This window comes from Homo sapiens, chromosome 3 (assembly GCF_000001405.40).
Source record: "Homo sapiens chromosome 3, GRCh38.p14 Primary Assembly".
Classification (NCBI taxonomy): Eukaryota; Metazoa; Chordata; class Mammalia; order Primates; family Hominidae; genus Homo; species Homo sapiens.
Genome location: NC_000003.12, coordinates 31824617 through 31837083, shown reverse-complemented (window position 1 = coordinate 31837083; position 12467 = coordinate 31824617). Strand labels below are relative to the sequence as shown.

General features: G+C 40.0%; 1 protein-coding gene across 15 annotated transcripts in view; it reads left to right on the top strand.

Moving 5' to 3' along the window:
* Nucleotides 1-12467, top strand: part of OSBPL10 (oxysterol binding protein like 10) — a 416868-nt gene that overhangs the window by 240609 nt on the left and 163792 nt on the right. For 10 of the 15 annotated variants that reach the window (XM_047447386.1, XM_047447391.1, NM_017784.5 and 7 more), the window contains one exon: nt 6853-7044. The exons of the other annotated variants lie outside the window; for them this stretch is intronic. In XM_047447386.1, coding sequence (XP_047303342.1) covers nt 6853-7044 — 192 coding nt within the window. The remainder of the gene's footprint in view (nt 1-6852; nt 7045-12467) is intronic. 15 annotated transcript variants of the gene reach the window in all.

Genomic DNA, 12467 nt, shown 5'->3' with positions numbered 1-12467 from the left:
AATCTCTAATCAGGTGTTTTCTGAGTTGAGTCTTGAATGAGATTTATAATTTGGGCCTGAGTTTTGAATGATTCATTTACCTTTTGGGAGCTGTAGACTTTAGATCTATAAAAGGAAAGGACTAGCCTAGACTTATGTCTTGAGATTCCATCTAGCTCTAAAATTGCATAGTTCCAAAGCATGAGAAATGCAGTGAATTGAGCTTTGTCAGCAGAAAGACAATTTTTCATGTTTTCAAAATAAAGCATCCAAAAGGAGTCTTGGTACTTGGAATTGCAAGGCCCCAAGCAAATGGTGTGGATGGAGGATGCAAAGTGGAGAAGGTGGAAGGTTTTGAAGTCACACTTGACACTTCTGGGTGGATCTGTGGAAAGTGGAGAAAAAAGGGTGGTGTGCGATAAGGGGGTCAGATGCCCAAGGACAGTGCTTTCAGTTGACTTGGGACCTTCAGGTTTGCCCTGGAGACTGGCTAGGGATTCCAGAGCAGTTGAATTAACTGTTAAGGAAGAGTCAGCAGGATTTATTGGCAGGGGGGTAGAGGAGGGGGGTTAGATGATTGGTGGATGGGAGGAGTTGAAAATGATGGGGGAAAAAAGCGCAGAAAATGTCAAGTTTTGTTTCCCACTATTTGCAGGAAATGAAATATATGCATTTGCTTGTGACAATTTTTCAGAAATCTGGCATTTGCGTGCATACTCATAGATTCAGGACAGTGTGTTTAGAAGCAGGCTAGAGACTTCGTCTCTGGAAGAACCACGATTTTTCATTTGCACACACATTTGCATGCATTTATATTGCCATTTGAGAGGGTATTGGTATAAAGTTAGTGAAAAATGTTTAAGATATATTAAAGATTTGAAGATGGCAATGGAAGAAATTTTCTATGCCTGGTTACTTAATGTTGAAACTCGTATTTCTGGATGAAAACAGGAATTTGGAAAAGTAGAGAGAGCTGGAACAAATTTGAAAAGCTAATCATGGAAATGAACTTGGAAAATTTCCCAGTTTTAAGAATCTTACTTCTACTTTAGGTCTGTTTAAGCTTGAAAGAATAGACAACTAAAAAACAAAAAGCAATGCAAATGAGGAGGTCAATATGAAGCAATTAAGCAAAATACTGGAATAGATTCATTTAAAAAGCAGTTCACATTTTATTCGGAGGTTGACTATCAGGAAAGTGAAATTCCAGCTAATTTTAAGGCCCTCAATATACTGTTTTAAAAATTGTTACGCTTTTTCTTTTTGTTGATTTTGAAGTATATTTACTTTTAGAGGAAAAGGATTTTTATCCTTAGCTTTCACATATTTAGATATGGCACAATTTTTTTAGAGGAAGAGAAGAAATATAATCAAATGATTTTAGTTGGTTAAATTTGTTTTTCAAAATACATTACCAGACTTGTTTGATTTTTTTCTGTTTGCCTTGGGCTATTTTTTTCTGAAATATAGTATCTTTTTTTCCTCCTTGCTGTGAAGGAATTCAAGGAAGTGAGGAAAATATGTTCCAAAGTAAATGTCATTTGAATGTTGTTACAATTAGTGGACGCTCAGAAATTTTTCACATCAGAAAAATTTTCTACAGTAGAAGTGGTTGTGTCAAATGTCTATTTGAAATCTTAAACCCCCTTCCCTCCCTTGCCTCCTTTTAATTCTAGCTCAACAATTACAAACTTTTGATACATGTCTTAAGAGGTTTTGAGGACCAGCTGATCTTTTCTATTTGGAACTTTGTTTATCGCAAGTATTAAGGGAAACTTTCCATTAGTTTAAATACTAATTATTTTTTTGGGTAACCCATGTAGATTGGATTAATTTATAGGGAACTTTGCTTTCTCTAACAGGTGGGTTTCTGAAAATGTGAAATCATATTTTAAGAGCATTTTTTTTCTCCGAAGCAAGTGGTTTTTTAGTAATTAGGATGACTGTCTTTTAAAGTTAAGGAAGCCTTAAGACTGTGACTACTTAAGATACCAAGGACCAAAATGGCCATATAGTTCATTCAGGAACCACTTAACAACCATTCCCCTATAATGAGGCTTGAAGACCTCATTTTATTAATTTATTAATGATAGTATTCATTGCATACTTTATGACACATGCTTTATGTGTCTTTTCTCATATCATTCTCCAACAACCCAATGAAGTAGGTAATATTAAACTTTAGAATGGAAGACACCTACATTTTCTAGGTTACACAGCTTGCAAGTGTTGGAGCCCAGATTTGAACTCAGGCAGTTGACTTGAGAAGGTGTGCTCTTAATCACTCCCCACACTGTCCATAGTACTGGGTGGGTACAGGGCCTGTGGATGGTCCAGTGCTTGTTGCCCTAAGCTTTCTCACACTAGGCTTCTATCTCCCAGGCTTGTTACCCGATTACCTTGATTGGACAGATTCTTTCTAGTGATTCCTCTCCTTTTCCAAGCACCCCTTTCCCAAATGGCAGTTTTGGCCAGTAGATTCAAAGCATATGTGTGTTTTGTCTTCTCTTTGCAACCTTGGGAAATTTAGGAATCATTCAATGAGAATGTAGGGAAAGACCAAGAGGCCTGTGTGATTATGTGCAGATGCCTGGACAGGCTCTGAGCATCAGCACTTGGTCTCACCTGCTCCCACACTCTTTTTTGCTGTCCCGCATCATCAGCCAGGTGCTTACGAAGCAAGGGGACATAAGGAGTAGCCAGATGAACACTGATGGCTGTGTGAGGGACGATTCTCCTAAGCAAAGGATGAAGAAACTTGCTCTCGACTCCGAATTTTCCACAGATGGCACACTTGGTGTTTCTAGTTGCCCCCATTGAAGTAAATATTTGGAACAAAAACCTGCCATGTTGTTTCTCAGACTCTGTTAATATTTTAAATTAATAGCGAAGATAGGCTTTTATGACATGGAGGCATAATTTTGAAACAAAACCTGGAGATTGTAGACAGGTTGCCTTTTGGAAACACAGCCTGCTCATTTATAGTGCTTGCAATTTGCTGCCTTTTCTCACTTGTTCTTGTAATGACTGATTACCTGTGGGATTTATGAAGGGTAAGACTTTTTTGCTCATGTTTATCCTGAAAGAAGGCATGGATGTGAATTACACTGTGAAAATCCCCAGTTAATGGAAAATTAAAGGTTTTTTGACTCAAAGTTACTGCTTGTAAATTCAAATGACAGCCATTAAGTAATTACGATCATGGTTTTAGACATCCACCGTGGAATAATTTTGCTCTTGGGTGAATCTGATTTATTGCCATTCATGGTGATACTGCTACAGGCAAAGGTGTCTATTGCCAGAGCTGTCTTCCTCACTGATTTCTGAAGAGTCCTCATTTCTACTCAGAATTAGAAGAGAGAGAGAGTGTGTGTGTGTGTGTGTGTGTGTGTGTGTGTGCGTGTGCGTGTGCGTGTTTTCCCTACAATCTTGATATTTAATGGCTGACCCTGTAAGTATTTAATTATGTTTTGGGCTTCTGACCAGTCTGACCTTGTAGAAAATAAGAAGGTCAGTGACTCAGCGACTGCTTATGATTTTGTGCTAAGCAACTTCTTAACATTTTAAAAATCCATAAGGTTTTCATTGTTCAAGTTTTCAGTGATATTAAGAAACAAACTTTGTCCATGCAGCTTCTGCATGTCAGGCACTGTGCTAAGTATTGTATATGCATAATCTAATTTAAACTTCATGGTGACTTTTAAGGGTCAATATTATTATTTCTCTTTTTAAAGATTAGGAAATTGATGTTTAATGAGAAAACTTAAATAACTCACCCCAGATCACATGGCAAGAGCAGGGGTTTGGTAGGGGAGGAGTGGGGGGATAGAGGTGTGTGTATGAAGAATGAAACTTATCTGTCTGGCTTCAAAGCCCAGGGAAAAATCTGCCTTTTCCTGGACTGGAATAAGCCTCGCTGACAGTCAAAATATATTTCAGTGGACTCTTAATACTTAGGCAAATTTACTGTTATTAAAGAAATATCCTCTTTCTCCCTCTACTCTCCAAGTGAAAAGATTGAAGCTGAAAGTAGGTGATTATTATATGGTTATTTCCTATCTTTATCTGCATTCCAATTCATTATGTCCAAGTCAAATCCAGAGAATCTTTACAATCTGCGGTATTTCAAGGTAAACCCAAACTCTGATTTCTACCCTGGCTCTCGCCCCACTCCTTCATCCCCTGGTGATCTGTAAAACGATGGATCATTAACATTTAACAGTTTTTAGAGCTGTGCCTGTTAGCCGAGGCCTGAGGCTAAGACTACCTAGGGTATCCAGACTGTTGGGTTGCTATGTAGTGTGCTGCCTTGCCTGTCTAGCTTCCCAAAGCCTACTCAGGCTTCAGGCCCATCACCCTTGGAACATCCTGCCGTGATGAGATGAGCTCACTTCTTTGACATTTTCTGGCTGTATTGCCAAATTAGCCCCTGTTATGCACCATCTTGTAAGTGTGCATCTGTGTATGTTTCCCTCCGTCTGTCTCTGTATATGTGCATCTTACATCCCCAGCAATATTATAGGTATCTATGGTGAAAAACTGTCTCATACATTTTGTTTTCTTCCTGACACTACACAGTAGATATTTTCCTAGGCACATAGTAGGTATTCAGTAAATGTTTGAACTGTAGGAACTAGATGATTTCCACATTATCTAACTTGCCTTTTCTCAAGCTGAGATGAAGTATAGGAACAATTAGAATGTAAATTTTATGCAAAATTAAAATGTTTTCAATAGGGAATACATACGTATAGTTCAAAGTGAAAGAATATAAAAAGTAGACAGTGAAAAAATCTCCCCTCTTCACTGTTTCTATCCTCTCATTCCCTGCTTCTCCACAAATAAGCAGCCACTTTATAGTTTTATATGTATCCTTCCACAGTATGTTTGTTTTAAACAAATAATTTTCAACAAGCTAAATAACAAAAATACTTATTTACCTCATGTTGGAAAAGCTATATTTTGCATACTATAGATCAATTATGTGCCTTCCTTCACTTAACTGTATAGCTGAGAGATATTTCCAGATCAATTCATAGAGACCTCTCTCATTATTCTCTTACAGCTTGGTAGTATTCCATTACATAGATGTACCATAATTTATTTAACCTGTCCCATGCTGACGGACATTTGGGTTGTTTTCTGTCCTTTGCCATCAGGCATAGTGCTGCGGTGACTAACAGGGACATATAGCATTTCACCCAGCTGCAGGTATGTCTGGAGGATACATTCCCAGACACGGGATTGCTGGAGCCAGGGGGAGATGTGTTTGTATCTGTGATGGGTCTGCTGATTGCTGTTCTCAGGGTTTTGCCACCTTTTTTACCTCCACAAACTCGTTTCTCTGTGGCCCTGTTGACAGATTGTGTACTCAGACTTTTGAATTTTTGCCAATCTGATGAGTGAAAGATGGTTATCTAAAGTAGTTTGAATTTACATTTATCTTCTGAGTACAGTTGAACATATTTTCCTATGTGTTAAAAGCCATTTATATTTCTTTTTTTGTAAGCTGTCTTCATACCTTGGCCCATTTTAATAATTATTTCCAGCTCTACATTTTTCCTAGTTTATAGTTGGGCTTTGCTGGTGGTCGTAGTGGGGTATTTTGTTGGTCTGTTTGTTTCCTTTGCAGAAATTTCCAGTTTTTAGGTGATCAAATTTATCAAGCTTTTCTTTTTTCTTTTCTTTTTTTTTTTTTGAGACGGAGTTTCGCTCTTGTTGCCCAGGCTGGAGTGCAATGGCACGATCTCGGCTCACTGCAACCTCCGCCTCCTGGGTTCAAGTGATTCTCCTGCCTCAGCCTCCTGAGTAGCTGCGATTACAGGCATGTGCCACCATGCCTGGCTAATTTTGTACTTTTAGTAGAGATGGGGTTTCTCCATGTTGGTCAGGCTGGTCTTGAACTCCTGACCTCAGGTGATCTGCCCGCCTTGGCCTCCCAAAGTGCTGGGATTACAGGTGTGAGCCACCGCACCCGGCTAAGCTTTTGTGGTATAGCTTTTGGATTTCAAAGTGTTAGGCCCATGGTTATGTGTTTTCTTCTAGTACTGTTTGTTTTTCTTAAATCTTTGATCCATTCGAGATCTGTGATCTGAGAGATGAATCCAGCTTTGTTATTCAGATGGCTTCCCAGTTATCCCAACATTTACTGAAAAATTCATCTCCACTAAGTTGAGATGCCATCTTTATCATAAACTAGATTGTAATTTGGATTATATATTACCACAGGATGAAATGTAAACACTGGACTAACAAATGAGGAATACTTGGTGGACAGCTTAGTTCGTGCATATAGATGACATTATTAAGCACTTAATAAATTAAACAATTGTGATGTGCCAGGCCTTGGGGATATAAAGATGAGCATGAAAGCATCTCTTAAGAAAGTAACTGGATAATCAATATAATCTTGATGCAGTGGAATAAGAGCAGCAGAGAGGCCGAGAAAGCCAGGGAGATGCTTCACAGAGCAGAGAACACCATGCTGAGTTTGAAGGTTCAGCAGAGGCTGACCAGCCACAGAGGAAGGGCATTCTAGGAACAGGAAATAATAGGTAGAGAGGCAGAGCTCCATGAGCGTCCATGGTGTGTGGGTCGGGGACGGTGGGGGGCAGGATTTTGAATAGCTGTTCATGGCCATAGCGTAGGACAGGAAGCACAATTGGAGATGAAACCAGAAGGGCAGCTAAGGAAGGGCAGTTCAGTGAGTATCTGTGGGATTTGGGCATGCAGTGTTGTTATACCTCCTTCATACCTTCAGCTCCCTAAAGAGAGGAAGGGGAAAGATGAAGAGGTCCAAAATGAATAGAAGCCAACACTTAGTTGTGTTCTGCAGGTCAGTTGTTGAGTTTTGACACCTGTTGCTTATTCTAGAGTGCTCCAAGCTCCCGAAGCCGAAGTCTCACTTTGCTCCCACATGGAACACCCAATTCTGCGTCTCCCTGTAGCCAGAGACACCTCAGTGTGGGGGCCCCCGGTGTTGTCACAATCACGCATCACAAGTCGCCTGCAGCCGCCCGAAGAGCCAAGAGTCAGTATTCCGGCCAGCTTCACGAAGTCAGAGAGGTAGGCTTTGCTCTCCTACTAGGTTAAGCAGCCCCGGGGAGTTGGGGGCTGTGACAGTCGCTCTGCCGACTCCTCTTCCTTTGCGCCGTCTTGATTTATGGAGAGAGGACCAGCAGCAAACCTCCCAGCCACACGGCTGTGACGGTCCTTCCTGGTTTAAAAAAAGTTAATTGTTCCTATTTCTTAGGTTAAGTGAATTGTTAGGAGACTACTCTGAGAACTCGGAAAGCAGAGAAAGCAAGCCTACAAAAATATGGATGTAAATGAAGTACAGTTAAATCCACGCTCATAGCAAAGACTAGGCCAAACCTCATGGATAATAAGAAAATAACTTTGGGTGTTTTGAAACTCAGGAAGTGCTAGACATAACGCAGATACCCCCTGTTTTCTGCCCTGCTTCACTTTCTTTCTCTCCTCTCCTGCTTCCCCTCATAGACACACTCCAAGGGGAGGGTTGGGTAGTGAAAAGAATACTGTCCTTGAAGTCAGAAGACTTGTTTAAGAGCAAGTCTTCTGACAGCCCCGAACCTCAGTTTCTACACCTGTAAAATGGAAATAAAACAGGCTTTGCCAGCCTTCTCTGGGGAAATAGGATCATTTGTGACAATGAAAACTCTTTAATTGTGCCTTATAAAAGTGAGGCGAGGTTATGTTTAAATTTCGCTTTTGATGCACTGAGAAGTCATCAGTTTGGGGATCCCAGATCCTTAGTATCCCTGTCATCCTCTGCAGCTGTTATAGAGAACAGACTCTCAAATAAATGATGGTGGTTTTGGTTGCCTACTTCCTTTGAGTGCTGAGGTTTTTTGCTCTGCAGCTTACTTGGGTACAGACCAGTTTGCTTTCCTCTTAGAGAAAGTGGCAGGGCTCTTCCTCCGTGTCACACAGAATGAGACTCCTCGACTAGGGTCTTGCCGCTGCTTGAGTTAGCATGCGTCTGGCTTTAGTTTTTAAATGTCACAAGCCAGGTAGTGCTCTGTTAGCTGACTATCTTGGTTCTGAATCTGGCCCAGGAAGGACAGTCTGAAATCCGAATCAAATCTGTAGATGCATATGAAAGACAATTTTTTTTTCTTGAAAGATTTTACATGTATATACTGTGTCTTGCCTAATAAAGAAAAAGTAGAGAGTCAGAATTCTATTGGAATTTTCAGGTAGAATGCTTACTTTGAAATAGTCACCCTGATGTGTTAAAAAGGAAAAACTGGGCCGGGCCTGGTGGCCCATGCCTGTAATCCCAGCACTTTGGGAGGCCAAGGTGGGTGGATCACTTGAGGTCAGGAGTTCGAGAGCAGCCTGGCCAACATGGTGAAACTCCATCTCTACTAATAACACAAAAATTAGCTGGGCATGGTGGCGCGTGACTGTAGTCCCAGCTACTTAGGAGGCTAAGGCAGGATAATCGCTTGATCCTAGGAGCGGGAGGCTGCATTGAGCCAAGATAGCCCCAGTGCACTCCAGCCTGGGCAGCAGAGTGAGACTGTGTCTCAGAAAAAAGAAAAAGAAAAAGTAGCTATTAGCTTAATTGTGTTACGTTAGTTGATATGATGAATGATTGTGCACAGGTTTATATTTCTTTTCATTTTCTTAGCACCTTTTCAAAACATTGTATAATGGAAAATTTTCAAATATATGCAAAATAGAATAGTAATGCAACCCTATATCCATCACCTTACTTTAACAATTCCAACTTTCCATTGTTCTTGTTTTATCTGTTTTTATTTCCCCCACCACTTTATTTTTCCTGCTAGAGTATTTTAAAGAATAGTTAAGTTTTATAAAAAGTTCCTGTTAGATAAATACCATTACATTAACTGGCAGTGATAAAATGACACAACACTTAACTATGATACCATCATTTCACTTTTATGTAGACCTCATCGCAGATTAGTTTATAAGTAATTTGAGACCATAACCTTGAACAAAGGCAGTTGAAAGTTTATGGTATTTTGATAATATTCTTTATTGTATTATAATGAATCTCTGTGGACTTACTGTTATAAATGATAGGAAGCCTGTATGTATGAAAAAAAAATGTAGGACTTGTGTGTAGTGAGCAGTGACCTAAATAAAAGTTGAGGTACTTTAGCATGATTAATTAGTAGCGTTTGATTCAACAGAATGTTTTCTACCTTCATTTAAAAAGAATTCAAATTTTTAAAATAAGTATGGCTTTTGTGTATGGGTGTACAAAGAAGTTTTATTTATATAAATTCTATAATGCAAGTTTATATTGCAAAAAATGTATAAAGAAAATTAAAATTACCTACAATTGTACCTCCCTACAGATAACCACTGTTAACCTTTCAGTGAATTTGCTTTTGGGTTTTTTTCCCTGTGTATTACAGATGTAGATACGTAAAAATCTATACAGAGCAATCTAAAAAAAATTTTTTTTTTTTTTGAGACAGAGTCTCACTCTGTTGCCCAGGCTGGAGTGCAGTGGCTTGATCTCAGCTCAGTGCAAGCTCTGCCTCCCGGATTCATGCCATTCTTCTGCCTCAGCCTCCTGAGTAGCTGAGACTACAGGCATCCACCACCACGCCTGGCTAATTTTTTGTATTTTTGGTAGAGACGGGGTTTCACCGTGTTAGCCAGGCTGGTCTTGATCTCCTGACCTCGTGATCCGCCCACCTCAGCCTCCCAAAGTGCTGGGATTACAGGCATGAGCCACTGCGGCTGGCCAGAGCGATCTAAATTTTGTAAATGAATACACGTATGCTTTTTTTTTTCCTTTATCGTATTGTTTTTTCTCTGTTGTCTATCTGTTGGGGAAAGCTATTGAAATTTTCCATAGAGTTTCATGATATGAAAAATAATTAGGTGAAGCCAGGTCCGGTGGCATGCACCTGTAATTCCAGCTACTTGGGAAGCTGAGGTGAGAGGATTGCTTGAGGCCAGGAGTTCAAAACCAGCCTGGGCAACATAGCAAGACCCCATCTCAAAAAGAAAAAAGAAAAAGTAGATGAAATGCCTCTATAGCCATTTGGTTTGGCTTTTGTACTCTTGGGTGACAGTATATTTCTTCAGCTTCTTGCTTTTTGTATATTGATAACCTTTATTACTCAAAATTTAAGTAAGATTGTTGACATATAAGTGCCAACACTGGTAATGGAGAGAATTTTAGGGTGCCGAGCCCCTTTAGGAAGAGTTTAAAGTTTCAGTCTTCAGACACCATGTCCACCTTCACTCCTGATGGGAGATGAGTAGCTGTTCTTTGGAATTTGTCATTTTGTGATGTGGCCAGGTCCACCTTGGGAGCTATCCGAGCAAATTGCACTCATAGTAGAAAGTTCCGCAGTTATTAATTTCAGAGCATAAAGGCCACTGCTTTAAGGTTCCACTGTATTTATCTATAAAATAACGAGAAGAAAATGGAATAGGATTTTTAACCCAGCTGTTCAGGGAAGATAAACTTATGACCACAGAAGCAATGGAGAAAATCATCATACACAAGACAGATGTGCCTGAATATCAGGAGAATAAAAGAGAAATAGCCCAGCCAAAGGCAATAGAATAAACAGTAAATGGAAAGCTACAGCATTGGTGAAAATAATGGGACAGTTTGAAAGATTAAATGGTTATCCAAAATATGAGGAATTGAGATACCAAAGGTCGGAACCCAGCATCCTCTCAGGAAGTGGTTAGGAGAGATGAGTATAGGGAATTTCAGAGACAATATCATCAGGAGGAACAGACATATTCTCTCTAGCAATTCAAGAAATGAAAATTAAGGCAACTGTTTGTGAAATTATCAGAATTAATTCTAGCCCATTATTGGTGGGGTATTAAGAAATGTTGACTGTGCTGCAGATTGTCTTTTTGCTACAATCTGGTGATGTATAGTAAGAATGAAACATAAACCAAACTGCATTGCCAGTGACCCATAAATTTCCTGCTGGGAATCATACCTGAGGAAACAATTTATGGAACTGGGGCTAGGAGGAAGAAAATTAATTTGGATAAAGCTATTCATACTAATAAAGGCATAGATTCAATACAAGACATTAAGGGAATGACTAAACAATAATACATTTTAGATTCTAAATCACTATATAGTAATTTAAGATAAGAGTCATGTCGGTATTATTACTACATGGACATGTATGCATAAAATGAGTAGGAAAATAACTATACAGAATAATATATGTACATTGGACCCTATAGTCATCTTAATAAGCTCCAGAAGTTGTTTAAGACAGTGGTTCCCAGAATTTTGGATTTTACTTGCAAACGAAGTTTTAGAAATAGAATTTTGGGAGTAACATAGTATTGCTATTTTAAAATTTACCCAGAAAGGACATTTTGAAAGTAGTCATAATCTCTGGTTTCCACTATCTCATAAAAACATCTTAATGCCCCCAAAAGGAATATAATCTCAGAATAAAGAGTCATTTATTGCATTGAGTAAGAAGTCTTATGGGGCTGGGTGCAGTGAATCACGCCTGTAATCCCAGCACTTTGGGAGGCGAGATGGGAGGATTGCTTGAGTCCAGGAGTTCAAGACCAGCCCTGGCAACACAGACTCCATTTCAACAAAAAATTTACAGATTTGCTAAGTGTGGTGGCTCATGCCTGTAGTCCCAACCACTCAGGAGGCTGAAGTGGGAGGATTGCTTGAGCCCAGGTGTTTGAAGTTGCAATGAGCAACGATTGCCCCACTGCACTCCACCCTAGGCGACTGTGCAAGACTTTTTCTTAAAAAAAAAATTCTTGGACTGGAAGATACTTCCTTGTGGATTGATTCTGGCCTGTGCATCTGTGTTTCCAGTCTGTCTCCTCCATTGCCATTGTCAATCACTCTTTGAGTTCATGCCTTGCTCTATCTCCAGAAAACCACCTTCCTAAATAGGAACATTTTATCATGTCACCTTTCTGCTCTTAAAGCAAACAAAAAAATCCCCAAACCTTTTTGATTCCCCACTGTCCATAGGATAAAGGTCAAACTCTCCTGGGTGGCCCACAAGCCCAGCTTCCTGCAGTGTGCACTCCTCCATCCCCCAACCCTCAGTGCCCCTTCTTGTCCTCACTGGGGACTTAGGACCTCCTCTGTTGGGAGGCCCATTGCTCAGCAGAACTTTCTGCCAAAACAGAAATGTTCCATACTTTACTTGATATGGAAACATTCATATCTTGGCTCCACTAGGAAACAGTTGAGCGTACAAGAAGGCTTAAGATCTATGATGGTGATGCAGGAGGTTTTATCGAGTGAGATGGGATGATATACCCGCAACTGCAAGATATCCGCTGGCAAACAAGGAAGAACCCAGAAACAGCCAAGGAGGAGAAGCGCAGACAGATGGCACTTCCAAAGCAAGAGAAAGCACTGATTGATGAATGATGTGAAGGCTTTGGTGGACAATGGCCAGAGCACAGATGTATGATCACTCACTCTGCGTCCAAACCAACAAAGATGGCGGGTC